Source organism: Homo sapiens, chromosome 8 (genome assembly GCF_000001405.40).
Source record: "Homo sapiens chromosome 8, GRCh38.p14 Primary Assembly".
Lineage (NCBI taxonomy): Eukaryota > Metazoa > Chordata > Mammalia > Primates > Hominidae > Homo > Homo sapiens.
Genome location: NC_000008.11, coordinates 839,634 through 860,244, shown reverse-complemented (window position 1 = coordinate 860,244; position 20,611 = coordinate 839,634). Strand labels below are relative to the sequence as shown.

At 45.3% G+C, this 20,611-nt stretch overlaps 1 protein-coding gene across 2 annotated transcripts in view, besides 1 other annotated feature; it reads right to left on the bottom strand.

Moving 5' to 3' along the window:
• Positions 1-20,611, bottom strand: part of DLGAP2 (DLG associated protein 2) — a 970,849-nt gene that overhangs the window by 848,232 nt on the left and 102,006 nt on the right. The window lies entirely within an intron of this gene.
• Positions 19,119-19,888: an enhancer, noted in NCBI's record as "H3K27ac-H3K4me1 hESC enhancer chr8:790357-791126 (GRCh37/hg19 assembly coordinates)". NCBI's record gives its function as "activates a minimal SCP1, AML or CMV promoter by ChIP-STARR-seq in naive and primed H9 embryonic stem cells {active_cell/tissue: H9 hESC(naive and primed)}" and the evidence as "EXISTENCE:reporter gene assay evidence [ECO:0000049][PMID:30033119]".

The following is a 20,611-nucleotide window of genomic DNA, read 5'->3' as shown; positions in this document are numbered from 1 at the left end:
TCTAAGCTGTGGGTTTGAAAATTTACATAACGAAGGCCACCTGAAAGGCCGTCTGTAAGGCTACCACAAGAAGTACGGAAAGCTCCTGGAGCCATGACAGCATCTACAGCAAAAACCAAAAAGGCCAAAAATCAGAAATATTTATCCTTCTTATTTCTTTAATTTGGAAACAACAATCTAAACCTAAAACCAAATTTAGTATTTAAAGAAATCATCTTAATTAGCAGTAACTTTAATCTACTTTTTACCACCATTAACACTAATAAGCTCCAAAAACAAACAAACAAACAACAGCAACAGCAACACCTCAATACTGGAAATGTTACGGGAAGCCCACATAAGCCCATGTGTCTCATGTGTGCGTTTATAAACCCAGCCACGTCTTCCGTCTTCCATCTCGGCTGCCTGTGAGGTGGCCCCTACACCGCACCTCACTCTAATTAGGGTTGCCAGTTAACCCCTTCACTCCTGCTACTTGAATAACCAAGGCCCTGGAGAAAAATCACCTGCCAGAGTGAATGCAGCAAATCCAGAATTCTAACAACTTCTCGTTCTGCTTTGTTGACCTGGCTCCTCACCGAAGGCAGCCAGAGGCCTGGTGCTGAGACAGCTGACTTCATCCCCAGACTCTAACGTCCAGCTAGCCAGCCTCCCCCAGCAGGTTTGGGCAGGGGGCGATGGGCCATTCAGTCCCTGTGTTGTAGAAATAAACTAAGCCACAGAGTTAGAAGAATGGAGATCAGCTCACACGTGCCGCTAACCAGCTCTCAGGCAAGGCACCCTCTCTTCCCTAAACTCCAGTCACCTAAACTCCAATTAGAAGACTAAGACAGGGCCAGGTGTGCTGGCTCACACCTGTAATCCCAGCCCTTTGGGAGGCCAAGGCAGATGGATCAGCTGCGGTCAGGAGTTTCAGACCAGCCTGGCCAACATGGTGAAACCCTGCCTATATTAAAAGCACAAAAATTAGCCAGGCTTCGTGGCGTGCGCCTGTGATCCCAGCTACTTGGGAGGCTGAGGCAGGAGAATCACTTGAACCCAGGAGGTGGAGGTTGCAGTGAGCTGAGATTGCGCCACTGCACTCCAGCCTGGGCAATAGAGCGAGACTCCATCTCAAAAAAAAAAAAAAAGAAGACTAAGGTGGGGCTGGTCTATGTCTCAGGTTTTTAGTGACAATAAAATAAGAATGTCGATGTATTTTTTAATTAAAATACTATTTTTTATAGGCTTACAGAAAAGTTGAGCACAAAGTTCACAGAGTTCACATATAACCCCTCCTCCCCACCCCAGTTTCCCCACCATTAACAGCTTATGTTAGTGTGAAACATTTGCTGTAAGGAGCGAATATTGATAATTATTAAGTCCACTGATTACACGAGGGCTACTCTTGGTGTTGTCCATTCTGTGGGTTTGGAGAAATGCACGGTGGCATGTGGCCACAATGACAGCATCTCATATATGCCCACGGTGACAGCATCACACATGTGCCCACGGTGACAGCATCATACATGTGCCCACGGTGAGAGCATCACACATGTCCCTACAATGACAGCATCACACATGTCCCCACAGAGACAGCATCTCACGTGCCCACGGTGACAGCATCACACACGTGCCCACGGTGACAGCATCACACACGTGCCCACGGTGACAGCGTCACACATGTCCCCACGGTGACAGCATCACACATGTGCCCACGGTGACAGCATTACACGTGCCCACGGTGACAGCACCACACATGTGCCCACGATGACAGCATCACACAGAGGCGCTTCCCTGTCATAAAATTCCTCTGGGCTCCGCCCATTCACCCCTCCCTCCCCACAGCCCATGGCAGCCACTGAACCTTTCCTGTCTGCACAGTTCTGTCTTTTCCAGAATGCCATGCAGTCGGAATCCTACATTGCGTAGCCTTTTGCGACAGGCTTCTTTCACGTAGTCACGTGCATTTACGGTTGCTCCACGTCCTTTCACAGCCTGGTAGATCATTCCTTCTCAGCACTTCTTGTCCAGATAGGCCAGTTTGGTTATTCATTCATCTTTTAAAGGCACGTTGGTTGTTTCCAAGCTGCTATAAACATTCATGTGCACTGGGCGCGGTGGCTAACGCCTGTAATCCCGACACTCTGGAGGGCCAAGGCGGGTGGATCATCTGAGGTGAGGAGTTCAAGACCAGCCTGGCCAACACGGTGAAACCCTAATACAAAATTAGCCGGGCATGGTGGCGTATGCCTGTAACCCCAGCTACTCAGGAGGCTGGGCCCAAGAATCACTTGAATCCAGGAGACAGAGGCTGCAGTGAGCCGAGATCACACCACTGCACTCCAGCCTGGGCAACAAGAGCGAGGCTCCGTCTCAAAAAAAAAAAAAAATCATGTGCAAGTTTTTGTGTGAACAGAAGTTTTCAAGTATCTGGGTGAACACCTAGGAGCCTGACTGCTAGACGGCATGGCAAATGTGCACTGTTGTAAGGAACCACCTAGCGGTCTTCAGTGTGGCTGCACCATTTTGCACTCCCCACAGTGAGGATGAGAGTTCCCGTTGCTCCACATCCTCACCAGCACTTGATGGTGTTGCCAGTGTCTGGATCTTGGCCATTCCAGCAGGGGTGTGGCACTGTCTCCTTGCTGTTTTATTTTTCATTTCCCTGATGACACATGACATGGAGTATCTTTTCAGTGGCTTGTCATCTGTGTATCTTTTTGATGGTGTCTGTTAAGATCTTTTACACATTTTAAAAATCAGGTTGTTTTCTCACCATTGAAATTTGAAAATTATTTGTATATTTTGCATGCTCGTCCTCCATCAGGTGTGTGTTTTGCAAATATTTTCTCCCGGTCTGGACTTTGTTGTTCCATCCTCTGAAGAGTGTCTTTGCAGAGCAGAAGCTGTTCATTTTAATGAAGTCCAATTTCAATTTTTCTCATGCATCATGCATTTGGTGTTATATCTAAAAAGTCACCAAATCAAAGCTTACCCAGGGTTCTCCCACATTGTCTCCTAGGACTTTTATAGTTTTGCATTTTGTGTTAATTTTGTAAAGGGTGTAAGGTCTGGTTCTGGGTTCATTTTGTTGCACATGGAGGTCCCATTGCTCCACACCATCTGTTGATAAGAGCATCCTCTCTCCATTGAATGGCCTTTCCTCCTTCATCAAAGATCAGCTGGCTGTATTTACGTGGGTCTGTCTCTGGACCCTCTGTTCTGTTCCATTGATCTATTTGTCTATTTGTTTACCAGTGCCACACTGTCTTGATTACTGTAGCTTTCCAGTAAGTCTTGAGATCAACTGTCAGTTCTGTGACTTTGTTCTCCTTAAATACTGTGTTAACTTGTCTGGGTCTTCTGCCTCTTCATGTAACCTTTAGGATCAATTTGTTGATATCCACAAAATAACATGCTGGGATCCTGATGGGGACTGCGCTGAATGTATAGAACACGTTAAGAAAAATGGATATCTCAACAGCACGGATTTTCCTGTCCAGGGATATGGGGTGCCTCCCCATTACTTAGATCTCCTTTCATTTCTTTCAACAGAGTTTTGTAGTTTTCCTCATATAGATCTTATGCTATTTTGTTCAACTTTTACTTAAGCATTTTACATTTTTTTGGTACTAATGTAAATGGTTCTGTGTTTTCAATCTCAAATTCTACTCATTCACTGCTGGTATAAAATGAAGTAACTGACCTTTGCATATTAACCCTGTATTCTAAAACCCTGCTAAAACTGTTTATTAGTTTCAGAAGATTTTTCCACTGCTGGGTGCCGTGGCTCATGCCTGTAATCCCAGCACTATGGGAGGCCGAGGTGGGCAGATCACCTCAGGTCAGCAGTTTGAGATCAGCCTGACCAACACGGAGAAATCCCATCTCTACCAAAAATACAAAATTAGCCAGGCGTGGTGGTGTGTGCCTGTAATCCCAGCTACTCAAGAGGCTGAGGCAGGAGAATTGCTTGAACCCGGGAGGCGAAGGTTGTAGCGAGCTGAGATTGCACCATTGCACTCTAGTCTGGGCAACAAGAGCGAAACTCCATCTCAAAAAAAAAAAAAAAAAAAAGAAGAAGAAGAAGATTTTTCCACTAATTCTTCTTTGGGATCTTCTACATAAATAATCATGTCATCTGTTGACAAATGCATTTTTATTTATTATATCCCAATATGCATATCTTTTATTTCCTTTTCTTGTCTTATTGCATTAGCTGGGACTTCCAGTATGATCTTGAAAAGGAGGGGTGAGAGGCTACGCTTCCTCATTTCTGATCTCTGCGGGATGCTCCAAATTTCTCATCATTTAGTAAGAACTTAGCTGTTGGGGGGTGGTTAGATTTTCTTTATTGAGTTCAGGAAGTTCTCCCCCATCCCTAGCTCACTGAAAGTTTTTATCATTAATGGGATTGGATTTTTTCAAATGCCTTTTCTGCATCTATGAATATGACCACAGGACTTCTCTTCTTTAGCCTGCTGATGCGATGATTACATCAACTGATTTTTGAATATTGAACCAGCCTTGCATAGCTAGGGTAAAGCTTCAACCTGTTTTGTAGGGCCTCAAAAATCAGTAACCGATGATCCCACTTCCTGCACTTCCATTCTTTCCCCAACCAAATACAACCTGGCTTCACTCTCAGGCACCTGAAGCTTACGTGGGAACTTACAGCACCAGTTTTACAGACCTATCCCCCTCTCACTCCTCCTGATGTGTCTGTGTGACACGTGGTGCTGTTAAACACCCTCCTTCTTGAAATTGTTTTCTCTTGGCACCCTCAATATGCCAGCCTCCTGATTCTCCTGCCTCTCTGGTCACTCCTCTTTAGTCACTCATTCATTCATTCAGCGGACATTCCTGCAGCTCACACTCAGCTTTGGTCCCAGTGTTGAGTGGGGAGCACAGAGAACGCTCCTGACCGTACACACCCGCTGGGAGCACATGAATTAATAGAAAACAGAGGCATTCATGCTGAAAGTGCCCATGGGAATACACGGTTCTGAAAAAAGAGAAAGGAAATGAAAAGCGTAACATAGCTGGAGTCAATGATCCCACATAAATGCCTGCAGGTGTCTTCTCCTAAAAATCTTCGTGCCCACGTTTTCAACTGCCACCCACACGAAGACGCTGCACACAGCAACCCAATCGCACATCCCAGACTCAAGGACCTGCTCCCGCCTCCTCCCCACCACTCGGCAAGCGCCTACCATCACTCCCTCCCGGACCCACTACTGCCGGACCTCTGACTGCCAGACCTCTGTTTTGACCTCTTTCTTTTTTAACCTGCACTTTGCCCAAACCGCTCCTCGGTTGCTGCCAGCACCACCTTTCCACAAAGAAAATCCGGGCATGCCGTTCCTCACTACTGTTTCCTGATACCTGTGGGAGCATTTCCCATGTGGGAAGCTTTTCTCCAGAGCTTCATCGCATCTCAGGGACCTCATCCTGAAGCTCAGTATTTCCAAAACCACATTCCTGCCACTGAGGCAGGCCCTACAACAGCTGAATCCAACCTGCCATTGCAGACTGCAGACAGCCCTGGCCCTCCATGTCCCCTCACCCCTGCATGAAAGCACATATGCACACACATGTGAACACACACAGACACATGCACACACAAAAAGACACGTACATGCATGAACATGCACACACATGCATGCACATACAACATGAACACACAAACATATGCAGACACATGCACACATGAACACACATGTCAGTCCGGCCCTCTCTCACCCACTCTCTCACTCTCACCCACCTCCCCCCTTCTGCTACAGGACAATACAGCAAGGCCCTCACCAGACACAGCCTCCTGGCCTCAGACTGCAGCCTCCAGCCTGTGAGGGTCTCAGGTATTGTGTTATAGCCACACAAATGGACCAAGACAGAGCCCACTCTGTCCTTTTTGCCTCCTGAATAAAAGGATAAGGATACCCACTGAAGGCCCCCACTCAGCAGCTCCTCCTTGCTGGGCCTTGCTCTAAGGTCCCCTACACAAGCCCCACTAACCCCGCAATGCGCTGTCCCCCTCATGGTGGTGAGCCCAAGTCCCCTCTGCTGTGCAGTCCTCCTACAGGGTCTTAGTCTATGTGGCTGCTAGAACAAGGTATCATAGACCGGGTGACATACAAGAAACGGGAATTCATCTCCCACGGTTCTGGAGGCTGGAAGTCCACCAACCAGGCACAGCGGATTCCACTCTCTGCCGAGGGCCTCTTTCCTGGTCCAGAGACAGCGCCTTCTCACTGTGTCCTTGCTAGGTAGGAGGTGCAGGGAGCTCTCTCAGGTCCCTTTTAAAAAGGCACTTATCCCACCTGTGGCGGCCCCACCCTCATGACTTCATGACCTCCCAGTGGTCTCTCCTCCTAACACCATCACATTGGGGGTTAGGGTATGAATCTGGGGGACAAACCTTCAGCCCACCACAGAGAGAATCAACATAAAGAGAAAACTGCCTTGTTTCTGTAATGCCCTGGTTCAGTCCCTAGCAATCAGGGCATGAATACTGAATTCTTATTAAATTAAATGACAAACACATCCTCCAGTGATTTAAAGTAGTTAAGCCTGTGCACGGGGCGGTGTGGCTGCAGGCCTGAGACTGCTCCCTAGAACGGCTGCTTGCGAGGCTGGCCCTGGGCTATATCTGAGAACTTGGATGTCGTGGGGGGTCCCACCATTCCCTAACTGATGAGGGGTGAGTCTGGCCCTGGGCTTCATCTGAGAACTTGGATGTCGTGGGGGATCCCCATCATTCCCTAACTGATGAGGGGCATCCTGTACCTAAGCCATCTGTGCAGATGATGTTTATACCACACACCTGCTCTCCTGCTGGCAGGGCTGTCTATCTGAGCAGACCCCAGCACAACCCTGGGCACCGTGTCTCTCACAAGCTTCCTGTTGGACGACATGCGTGGTCACAGCTTGATACTGGCAGAACCAAGCCCCTCCTGGGACTCTGTGGGGAACAGCTCTGGAAGCTTCCATCTCGTTTCCCTGGACCTCCCTCCTCCACCTTCTCCCTCTGATGACCATGCTCCGCGTCCTTTCTCTGTAACAACTCACAGCTGTCCTGCAGCTGTGCCGAGCCCTGGGAGTGCTCCCAGTGAATCACGGAACTGTGGGTACTCTTGGGGACCCCAACACACACCTAAGTGCAATGTTAGACTCATACTCTAGCACCCAGCTATTATAAACTAAGCACTGAATTTCCTCTTTTGCTCCTAAAGTATCTGTAACTATTTAATGTGTCACTACAAAGCCCACTGCCCCAAAGCAGCCAGTCTGACCCATCTGCGAAGATCCAGCGTCATGCTGCACATAAGAACAGCCAGTTTTACCAAAATCTGTTGCAGAAATAACGGAATCGGCCAGGGGATCCATAAACAAAAACAGCACAAAGGTAAATGAGGTCCTTTTGTGAAGCAACAGTAATTCTACATCAAGGACGTTGTCATTCAGAATGAAACTGTGCTACTTAGATTTCCCAAGGAAACACTCGCCCGAGAATGCACTCAGCCTTGCTGGGTTTGGGTGGATATTTTACCCTTTACAGAAACGTTGAAGTAGCCAAGGTGTTAGCATGACATCTGCGAACATAATCAGTACAAATCCCGTCTACTGGGAACATAACACTCTGTCCGCAATTTATACAAAAGCCCACGAGGCTGAGAGATGTTGATTTGCTCATTTACCACAATCAGACAATCGATTAAGCTGGCAAGAGAAAGAGGAAAATGACCCACAGAATCTTGAGTAAAATCAAGCTAATAATTCATTACAATTTACAGCTGATGAGCAGATAAAAGACGGACAAAAGAATCATGATGGTTTCATTGGATTTGCCATTAGTGTTCTTTCTTCCATCTGGAAAACTGAAGATCACGTGTGAAAAGCCAATCTCAGATTTCAAACAGGAGGCTACTGTGGTTTCATGACAGCTCAGTGGAGACAGGAGGCAGAGCCCCAGGCCTGTGGCCTCCAGATCCACGTGCAGGGAGAGGGGACACGGAAGTCTGTGTCATCCACCAAGACAGAGAAAGGTGAGAGAGACAGATTTCCTATCCCTCAGAGCAATTCTTTAAACTGTTTTTGACATGTTTTTTTTTTAGCTTCCAATGTGTCCCTTCTCAAAATCTCTGCACACACATAAGAGGAAATCAAAATTTACACCAAAGCCAATTCTCACAGCTGGCAGGAGGCTGCATGCCTTTGTTGTCCACAGGGCAGGTGGGAGCTTGGGTTTAGGGGCTGAGTCCCAGGACCGCCGCCCACTAGCTGAGTGCCCTGACCAAGTCACTGCACCTTCCCAAGACCAGTGTCCTCGCTAATAAGAGAGGAGTAATAATAAAGACAGCTCCAGGTATTAGTGAAGGTGAGAGGGAAACGCAGCGGGGGCCCCCTGCAGCTCCCGCCACCCAGCAGTCACGGAACAGTCACTGCTTCCCAGCTCCGAGTGTGGTTCCTGGCATCTAGCAGGCTGCGGGGCACGTGGCGTGGTCTCCGTGAATCGTGTTAAATGAGGGAGGAAATCTATGCCCCTATCCATAGCCACAAATCACACAAAACTGCATGCTTTCTGGCACTTGATCTGAGCAATTCGGCAGCTGGATAAATAAATGTGACAAGTTTTTTGAACAGAGGCTGAACTGACTAGTCCACAAATCCCAGGAACTAATCTCAGAACGGTGTTTGTAAATGTACACAATAAAATACACAAAAAATTATACTGAAATGATCAAATAGTCTTCATCATAATATACTAACATAGGTGCTTCCTATTAACACATTATTTTAAATTACCTAGTAGCAGGGAAATAGCAGCACCCATTCCAAAGCAGCGATGAGCTTACATGTCGCTCACAGGTAACACAACACTGACGTGATAAGAAAACACAGTCAGTCATACGTCGCTTAGCAATGGGGCTACGTCCTGAGACATGCGTCACCAGGCGACTTTGTCAGGGTGCGAACATCAGACTGTACTCACACACACCTGGATGGTGCGTTCTACCACACCCCTGGGTTGAATGGCACAGCCCACAGCTCCCGGGCTGCACACCTGCACAGTGTGTGACTATACTGAACACCAAAGACAACTGTAACACATGGCACTTGTGCATCTACATACAGAAAAGTCTTCTCTCAACAGCAAACACCTATGGCACAAACAAACAGAAAAATCATATGTTAAAAACATGTTGTTTTGATACAGAGAACTCCATCTGGACAGTGCATCTTTCATCTTTTGCTGCGTCTCTACTTGTTCATCACATAGCTCTGTACATGGCCTCTTTGCAGCATTTTCTAAGGTGTGAATCTTGGCTATTTCAAAAGTGAAAACAGAGAGAGTGAAAGACAATATTTTGTGAGAAAAATTTGTTACCAAACTTTACTAACTTACCTCTGAATTCTTTAAAGTGAAAAAAAAAATTTTAACTATTATTTTAGGAAAATTGAGACAATCACAGTGCATTACAACACTGTGGCATACTTTCAGGATTAGCCTAATAGTAGCCAGATAGTTTCGCAACATTTAAAATTTCATGCTATTATAAAATAATTCTAAAATACATAAAGGCCAATAATGCATATATTGCTTTCTGGGGTCTAATTTTCTTCTAGGTAAAATAAAGCATGCCAACATTTAATTGGGCTATTCAAGCAACAGCCTCATTTCATACACACAGACACACAAATATACATAAACATAGATACATACTCTGACAAATTGTGAAAAGAAGTGTTTCCCTATTCCAAAATATTCTTATTAAGAATTAATTTAAAGCTTTCTGTGAAACAATAAAAACACTTAAAAGCAAATTTGATGATTTTTTTTCTTAAAATACATTGTAAATTGGAAATAAAATTTCTGCACAAAGTGCAGAAATCTTTCAAGAGGCAGCGTAACTTTTAACTTGTAGCAACAGGTGGAAGGTTCAAAAAATTGCTTTGAGATAAACTCCAAAAGCACAATGCATTTAAAAATGTGATAAACTGGACATTATGAAAATTAAAATATTCTATTATTCAAAACACTGTTTTGACACACTGTTAAGAAAATGAAAAGACAACGCAAAGGTGGGGGAGATATATCTGCAAATGTCACATCTGACAGGGGACTCAGACCCAGAATACAGAGGGAAGTCTCAAAACCAAACATTAAAATACAAACAACCTAGTTTTTTTTTTTTTTTTTTTAGACAGTCTCCTTCTGTTGCCCAGGCTGGAGTGCGTGGCACAATCTCAGCTCACTGCAACCTCTGCCTCCCAGGTTCAAGCAATTCTCCTGCCTCAGCCTCCCAAGTAGCTGGAATTACAGGCCCACAGCACCAGGCCCAGCTAATGTTTGTATTTTTAGTAGAGATGGGGTTTCACCATGTTGGCCAGGCTGGTTTGGAACTCCTGGCCCACCTTGGCCTCCCAAAGTGCTGGGATTTCAGGTGTGAGCCACCGTGCCCGGGCAACCTAGCTTTTTTAAGTGAGAAAAAGATTTGAACAGACATTTCATGGAAGAGTAAAGATGGAAAGCAGGCACATGATAAAAGTTCCTATGTCATCAGTTATCAGGGGAAATGCAGTAAAACCTTGAAAGAGATACAACTCTCCACTATTAGGACGGCTGGGAGACCATTAGCCCAGGCTACAGGGGTCCTGGAAGGATGTTGCACCGCTGGAACCTTCGGGCAAGGCTGGTAGAAACCCAAAAGGGCAGTCAGTTTGGAAAGCAGCTTGGCAGCTTCTCATAAAGTTAAACATACACTACCATTGACACAGCCACTCCCATCCCAGGCATCGAACTAAATGCCCAAGTGAAATATGAACCCAATTTCCACAAAAACTCCTGCGCTCAGTATTTACAGTAGTTCATTCATCACTGCCAGAACCTGGAAACAGCTCCAGTGCTTTCAGCAAATGAATCCATAGAAACACCGGCTCGTTCCTGTACTGGAACATGGGCACGTTCCTATACTGGAACAGACTCTGTGTGATCCTATGCTGCAACGTGCACCACGCGATCCTATGCTGGAACACACACCACGTGTTCCTATACTGGAACATGCACCACAAGATCCTAGACTGGAACAAACCCTGGCATGTTCCTATACTGGAACACACATCACATGATCCTATACCAGAACAGACACTGCACATTCCTATACTGGAACATGCACCACAAGATTCTATACTGGAACAGACACGGCACATCCTATACTGGAACAGGCACCGCACATTCCTATACTGGAACAGGCACCTCACGATCCTATGCTGGAACAGGCACCTCACGATCCTATGCTGGAACAGGCACCGCGCGTTCCTATGCTGGAACAGGCACCGCGCGTTCCTATGCTGGAACAGGCACCGCGCGTTCCTATGCTGGAACAGACACCGCGCGATCCTATGCTGGAACACACATCACAAGATCCTAGACTGGAACAAACCCTGGCACGTTCCTACACTGGAACACGCACCGCACGACCCTACACTGGAACACGCACCGCACGACCCTACACTGGAACACGCACCGCACGACCCTACACTGGAACACGCACCGCACGACCCTACACTGGAACACGCACCGCACGACCCTACACTGGAACACGCACCGCACGACCCTACACTGGAACACGCACCGCACGACCCTACACTGGAACACGCACCGCACGACCCTACACTGGAACACGCACCGCACGACCCTACACTGGAACACGCACCGCACGACCCTACACTGGAACACGCACCGCACGACCCTACACTGGAACACGCACCGCACGACCCTACACTGGAACACGCACCGCACGACCCTACACTGGAACACGCACCGCACGACCCTACACTGGAACAGGCACCGCACGACCCTACACTGGAACACGCACCGCACGACCCTACACTGGAACAGGCACCGCACGTTCCTATACTGGAACACGCACCGCACGATCCTATACTGGAACAGGCACCGCACGTTTCTATATTGGAACACACACCACACGATCCTATACTGGAATACTACTCAGCAATTTATAAAAATCAACTATTGATTCATATAGCAATATAGATAAGTCTATAATACATCGTGCGAACTGGAAGAAGCCAGTGTCTCAAGGTTGCCTCTGGTAAACTCCATCTATGTCACATTTTGGAAAAGGAAACACGACAGACAGAGAACAGGCAGGCAGGTGCCTGTGGCTGGGAGCAGGGCAACAGGAAACACAGAACTGAAGAGTAACAGGCCCACACTTGCAGGTGCCACTAAACAAGATCTTAGCAGAAGTGTTTACCCCTTTAATATTCACATTAAGTCTAAATCAAAGTATAAACAAACACGCAAGCAAGCATCCAAGCTAAAAGTCAAAATAAGAACCACCGAACAGAAGAAAGTAAAGGGGAAAAAAATAATAAAGACAGGAGCAGAAATTCATAGAAATTAAATAGGAAAAAGTCCACAGTCAAAGGCCAGGCGCAGTGACTCAAGCCTGTGTAATGCCAGCACTTTGGGAGGCCGAGGTAGGCGGATCACTTGAGGCTAAGACTTTGAGACCAGCCTGGCCAACATGGTGAAACCCTGTCTCTACTAAAATTACAAAAATTAGCCAGGTGTGGTTGCGTGCGCCTATAGTCCCAGCTACTCTGGAGGCTGAGGTGGGAGAACTGCTGGAACTCAGGAGGCAGGGCTGCAGTGAGCTGAGATCATTCCACTTGCACTCCAGCCTGGGTGACAGAGCGAGACCTTGTCTCAAAAAGAAAAAAAAAGAAAAGAAAAAAGTACACAATCAAGATAATCCAATCAAAAAGATCATTTTAAAATTCTGGTCAGAGTTACATGAAAAAGAAGGGAAAAAAAGTGTAAAATATATCTCAATTACACTGATATTAAAACTTTTTAATTTTAGTCAAAAATTAAAAATAAAACACTAATAGCCGGTATCAATGAAAAGGGAAACATAAGTAAAAACAGTGCAAAGATTAAATAGATCAAAAGAAACACTGTGAACTTTGGCCAGTATATCTGAAAACTAAGATAATATGGAAAAGTTCAGAAAAAACAACATTTTCCTGAATTGTGTCAAGAAGCAGCAGAAAACCTGAATATTCCTATAACCATAACAGTTATTGAATCAGTGGTTTAAAATCTTTCCACAAAGAAAACACCCAGGCCCATGTGTTTTTAATGGCAAGTTCAGCCAAATATGTAAGGTAAAAGAATTCCAACTGTACAAAAACTATTCCACAGTAATCAAAAGCACCATTTTACAACTCATTTTATAAGGATATATAAGCTTAGTAGTAAACCCTAACAAGAAAAACAGGAGAAGCAAGAATTACAGGCTAGTATCATGTCTGAAGATGGATAGAATAACCCTAAACAAAACAAGAGCAAGCCAGACATGGATGTGCTCAACATCACTCATCACTGGGAAAATGCAAACCAGAACTACAGTGAGATATCACCTCATCCCAATTAGAATGGCTATTACCAAAAAGACAAACATGTCAGGAAGGATGTGGAGGAAAGAAAACACTAGTGCTGCTGGTGGGAATGGAAAACAGTATCAAGGTTCCTAAAAAAAATTAAAAATACAACTACCATATGATCCAGCAATCCTGCTACTGGGTATTATCAAAAGGAAATAAAGTTAGTGTCAAAGAGATCTCTGCACTATCATGTTCACTGCAGCACTATTCATCATATCCAAGATATGGGACCAACCCAACTGTCACACGCCAAAAGATGAATGGATAAAGAAAATATTGTACTTATAGACAGTGGAATACTATTCAGCCATAAAAGTGGAATCCTTTCACTTTGGGCAACATGGATGAATATAAAGGACATATGTTAAGTGAAGAGAGCCAGGCACAGAAAGGCCAACACCACATGATCTCACTCACGTGCAGAATCTCAGAAAGCCAATCTCACAGAAGTAGAGAGTAGAATTGTGGTTACCAGAGGTTGGGTAAGAGTGTGGGAGGAGGAGATGGCAAAAGGAAGGTCAATAGCACAAAGCTACAGTTAGATAGGAAGACTAAGTTCTGGTGGTCTGTTGCACAGTGGAATGACTGGAGTTAACAATAATGTATTATTTATTTCAAAATAGCTAAAACAGAGGTTTTTGAATGTACTCATCACAAAGAAATGGTCAATGTTTGAGGTAATAGATGTGCTAACTGCCCTTATTTACCCATTATGCAATTTATACATGTATTAAAACATCACATTGTACTCCGTAAGTGTGTATAAGTATTATTTTCAAACACAAATAACAAACGTTTACGAAGAAACTCATACGTCTCTGGACAATTGATTTTTGACAAGGGTGCCAAGACAATTCAATTATGAAAGAACAGTCTTTTCCACAGATGGTACCAGGAAAGCTGGACAGCCAAATGCCAAAGAAAGAAGTTGGATCCCTTCCTCACACCATATGCAAACATCAATGCAAAATGGATCAAAGACCTAAATGTAACAGCAAAAGGTATATAAAACTCTTAAAAGAAAACAGCATAAATCTTCATGACCTTGATTAGGCAATGGTATCTTAAATACAACATCAAAAGCACAAGCAGCAAAAAAAGAAATAAACTGGATATCATCAAAATTTAAAACATCTATGCTTCAAAGAACACCATCAAGAAAAGTGAAGGTGAAAACACACCCTATAGAATGGGAAGAAATTATTTGCAGGTCATACGTCTGATAAGGACTTGTATCTAGAATACATAAATCCTCACTATCCAATAATAGACAAATAACCTAGTTTAAAATGGGCAAAGGATCTTAATAGATATTTCTCCCAAAGGAGATATACAAACAGCCAACAAGCACATGGAAAGATGTTCAACATCATTAGCCATTGGAGAAATGCAAATCATAACCACAACACCATACCCTAAAATACCACAATACCATACCCTTCACACCACTTAGGATGGATAGAATAAAAAAGCCAAATAACAAGTGCTGGTGAGGATCTGATGAAATCAGAACCCTCCTATACGACTGGCAGAAACGTAAACTCATGCTGCAACTTTGGAAAACAGTCTGAAACGTCCTGAAAATGTTCAAACAATTCCACTCCTAGGTATATACCCAAGAGAAATAAAGACATATGTTCACGCAAAAAGTTGTGCACAAATATGCACAGCAGAATTATTCACAACAATCAGTGTACACAACCCAAAAGCTTTCAACTGATGACTGGATAAATAAAATGTGGTATATCTGTACAAATGAATGTCATTCAGCAATAAAAAGAAAATACCTGACATGACATGGACGAACCTTAAAACATTATGCTAAGTGAAAGAAGTCAGTCACAGAAGTCCATATATTGTATGATTCTGTTTACACGAAATGTCCAGAGCATGGTAATCAACCGAGACAGAAGTGGATTTGTGGTGGCCAGGCCTGGCCTGGGGAGGAGGCAGGGGAAGAGAGGATGGCTAAGATAGGTGGGGTTTCTTTGGGAGATGCTAAAGCCATTGAATTGTGTACTTTAAACAGGTCAACTGCACAGTATATGAGTTACAGATAAGTAAATTTGTTAATAAAAGATAACATTTACTGTACAGTTTCATGTATATGAGGTTGAAATACAAGCAAAACTAATCCATGTGGTTTGGAGTCCCCATAGTGGGGATCCTTGATAGGCGAGGAAGGACAGCATGGCTGGGAAGGGGGTCAAGAGAGACCGTAGTCTACCAGTACTACCTTATTGATCCTTGATGGGCGACGAAGGACAGCATGGCTGGAAAGGGGGTCGAGAGAGACTGTAGTCTACCAGTACTTCCTTGTTCATCCTTGATGGGTGAGGAAGGACAGCACGGCTGGAAAGGGGGTCAATCGAGACTGTCGTCTACCAATATTTCTTTGTTGATCTGGCTGCTGAGCAGAAGGCTGTGCTCCCTTCATGAAAACTGAGTGGCTGTGAACTTAACAACTGGCATAACTTTTTGCAGGTATGTTACAGTTCAATAAAAATGTCTTTTTAAAAAAAGTAAATCAATGTATACATGAGCCATCCCTACCATTTTGATTCAGCTTCACTTCCTAATAGAGAAATTACTAATTCCTCACTCTCACAAACACACTTCCTTTCTAACTCATTCACTGCAATGGCAGAGCTGACGAATACTCTTCACTGTGAACCACAAAGTAAACAAAAATATGTTAAACAAATGAAAAAAATTAGTAGAGCACTCCATATCAAAAACATTTTTGGCAACAGGTACTATTAAATGTCAAAAGTCATTTACAAAATAATTTACATCTGACACATTAAAACATACTACCAATGTTTTAAAATATTTAATCCCCTAAGTAATCCATTAAAGTGTGTCTAAAACAAGCCAGATAAACTTCAATGACTTAAACATATGTTTTCCGTACAGTTACTCTTATTGACAACTTAATACCCGTGAAGAAATGTAAAGATATCATGTAGCGAGGACACAGTGACAGAAAGTCTAAGGCTTTCTTTTTAAATCCTCCTTTACAACTACTCTGCGTGAGGAATGTGGTGAATGCAGCGACACAGCTTTCAATCCTCCCAGACCAATCATATCACACATCACATCACACAAAGCAACAAGATAGCAAAACCCAAAAACCATTTACAGCAACCAGGTGACCAGACAGCCCAGGGAGTGCAAAATACGGGGAAGTGCCCCAGGATCTACGTGGCGTCCGTGTCCAAGGACAGAGGGGCAGTGGCTGGTGAGGGACAGGCCAGGCCCGGTGGAACCCCAGGAGAGGCCGTGGTGCCCACTCCACACCATGCACAGTGGCCCAAGCCAGGCCCCAAAGCCGGAAGGGGATTTGCCCACCAGCAGTCAGTGTGCAGAGGGGTCTCCCCGTAAAGACAGCCCCCGTGAACTCCTGATGCTGATCAGCCACACCGCCCTTCCAGGAAAGGCTCTCACCCTGAGATGATAATAGGACTGAGGGAAAAACACGTCAATAAAACCAGGGGCAGGGAACAGAGCCAGGAAATCTCAGAAGTCAAACTGCCACCTTCTTAACTTCACATGAAAACGACAGAAGGGAGAGCTCTAGGAAGTCGGAAAAGCTCTCCCGGATTCTGCTTTCTTCCCAAAGTTCACCTACATTAAGATCACATAAAAATAAGCAACAGAAAGCTATCATCCTGGTCAAATCAATCCAATAAAAATTATTACAGAAAACAAAAAAGCCGAATAACACCCCTGCCTGCACACAACGAAAGCCCGCCAGAGGTACATCCATAAAGTGAGCGAAAGCCCGCCAGAGAGGCACATCCACAAAGTGAGTCAAAACTACCACCGGCTGCTGTAAAACAAGCTGGAAGACACTAAGAAGATTACATAAGGCAGAAAAGAACAATGTAAATCAGAATTAGAAAAACTTAAAGCTGAAGCAACAGAACTCAGGGAAAAACGTTTAGAAATAAATGACAGCTCATTTCAGAAATGAAGAATAAAATAGAGGAAACAAGAATGAATAATCACAAATGATGCATTAAGAAAAATATAAGGTTGAAAAAAGAAGAAAATCCCCAAAAAATGAAGTTGCAAATATTAGACAGGCAAAACAGAAAGAACAGATAATAAGAATCTCTAAAAGTGAAAATCAGAGCAGCAGAAGAGAACAAAATGTTAGAAGCTATAATTCGTAAACGTTCCCTGAAAACTTAAAAGTTTGACTACATATTGAAAGAACGACCATGTACCAGAGAAATTAAATCAGAACGATGACCACCAAGGCACATAATAATACCGTTACTGAGCAATAAAGAGAGTAAAAGTCCTCTGGCGTTGAGACAGAAAGATGAGTTACTTTTAAGGGAAACAGATTCAAGCACGTGCCTGTTCAACAGCATTGTGTTAGGTTAGGGGAATACAGAATAACATCTTTAAGATATGCCAGGAAAGTAAATATAAGCCAATCATTGCATACGCAGCAAACCTGGTCTTCAGGTATAAAGGACACAGAAAAACTGACAGCAACGTACAATCGCTCAAGGAGTATTGTTCCCATGAATATGTTTTGAAGAAAGTTCTAGACAACAAACTCCAGAGAACCACAAGGACTAGAGAGATGGCGACCTAAGGACGAGTAGTTAGGAGTAAACATGTGGCTACTCATAGAACCCTAAGTGATTACCAGAAGGGAAAGAATGCAGAATTTAATGGATCTGCTCTGACAATGCCAATATATTATGGCATTAAAAATGCAGGACACAGGGGAGCATGTGAGAAAGGTACTTGGTGTCTTCCGTAGTCACACTGGTGGCAGTGTCCAAATCGTTATGTTAAGACTGCCAGGCACATGATGTAGGATAGAGGAAATGTTTAATTATGGACTGCTGTAACTCTATTATATCCTGTGCTCTCGAGAATCAGGATACCTAGCATGGAAAACAAGAGACACAAATGTGATATGAAATAGCCATAGTAAAAAGTATTCCAAATTCCTAAGTTCAAATTGGAAGTATCAGTATTAATTCATGTGACGGTTAGTCTTCAAAAACTCACCTGCTGCCGGGTGTGGGGGGCGGCACCTGCGGTCCCAGCTACTCAGAGGCTGAGGCAGGAGAATCGCTTGAGCCCAGGAGTTCAAGGCTGCAGTGACCCAAGATCACACCTGTGAATGGCCACTGCACTCCACCCTGGGCAATATAGCAAGACCTCATCTCAAAAAAAAAATCACATGTATTTCTAGCTCTGCCTTACAAGGGTCTAGAAACAATGACCTTCATGTAGCAACGTACACCCCTAGTAACCGGGTCGTGTTCTTGAAATGCCAGTTTCACTAAACAGCAGAGTTCCTTAGATAACAGATAATTCCAAGTCTGGGACAGAATATGGGCAACATGAACATCTACGAAAGGCTGCCAGGGTTGTGTCCCAAGGACTCAGAGCCAAGTGAAGAGGCCCCCACTGGCCAAAGATGGACAAGTGTGAGCGTCAGGATGAGCGACCATCACAATGCACTGAGATGCCAAACGTGCGCCATGCATGAGTTCATCATAACCGTTTTAATGAATTGGTCCTCTTTGGAGGGTGAGATAAACCAATTCATTCCTTGATAACTTTTAAATTCAGGGGAAGAATCGAGGATTTATCTTGCCTTTTCCATATGAACTGCTCCATTTCATAATGAAATAGATGAAGGGCTGTTGTTTTATAGAAACAAGTTCAATTTATATATGAGAAATAAAAGGTAAAATCAAAATATTACCACTCCCCAACTCCTAGTGAATTAATGGGCCTAGGCTCTCATCAGTCAATACTTTCTGACATCACCAGAGAGTGAGAGCTAGACACAGCGTCCCTGGATGAAAGGGCACAGCCACTGCTGAGTCCTGCCAAACAGAATACACAAGGGGATCCAGTCTCTGGATCCAGCTGCCAAGGCTGAAAACACAGACGAATGCACGATGTGCCCCATGTAGACGTGTTCACAGAATCGAGAGTGTGGGGAGACGTGCAGGCATGTACCGTGTAGACGCGCTCGCAGAATCCAGAGTGTGGGGAAACGTGCAGGCGTGCACCGTGTAAATGCACTCACAGAATCCAGAGTGTAGGGAGACATACAGGTGTGCACCGTGTGGACGCGCTCGCAGAATCCAGAGTGTAGGGAGACATGCAGGCGTGCACCGTGTGGACGCGCTCGCAGAATCCAGAGTGTGGGGAGACGTGCAGGCGTGCACCGTGTGGACGCGCTCGCAGAATCCAGAGTGTGGGGAGACGTGCAGGCGTGCACCGTGTGGACGCGCTCGCAGAATCCAGAGTGTAGGGAGACGTGCAGGCATGTACCGTGTAGACGCGCTCCCAGAATCCAGAGTGTGGGGAAAAGTGCAGGCGTGCACCATGTGGACGCGCTCGCAGAATCCAGAGTGTAGGGAAACGTGCAGGCGTGCACCGTGTAGACGCGCTCGCAGAATCCAAAGTGTGGGGAGACGTGCAGGCGTGCACCGTGTGGACGCGCTCGCAGAATCCAGAGTGTGGGGAGACGTGCAGGCGTGCACCGTGTGGACGCGCTCGCAGAATCCAGAGTGTGGGGAGACGTGCAGGCGTGCACCGTGTGGACGCGCTCGCAGAATCCAGAGTGTGGGGAGACGTGCAGGCGTGCACCGTGTGGACGCGCTCGCAGAATCCAGAGTGTGGGGAGACGTGCAGGCGTGCACCGTGTGGACGCGCTCGCAGAATCCAGAGTGTGGGGAGACGTGCAGGCGTGCACCGTGTGGACGCGCTCGCAGAATCCAGAGTGTGGGGAGACGTGCAGGCGTGCACCGTGTGGACGCGCTCACACAATCCAGAGTGTACGGAGACATGCAGGTGTGCACCGTGTAGATGCGCTTGCAGAACCCAGAGTGTGGGGAGACGTACAGGCCAAACGGCCTGGGGAAAGAGGAGCAGGAGAAGAGGCCGTGGATCAAAAGAGACCTAAAAGGCATCTCAGTGGAGACAGATCTGAAGGCTGAGCTGCAGAGGCAGGGAATGCCCATGTGGGTGATGAAACGGTGAATAAACATGAAGAAGTCATAATCATGAGCATCAGGACAGGGGCACTTAGGGTGGGAGCAAGGGTGCTGACCAGGACGAGGCACACAGAGGGACAGGTGGCACCATCCTGTTTTTCACCGAG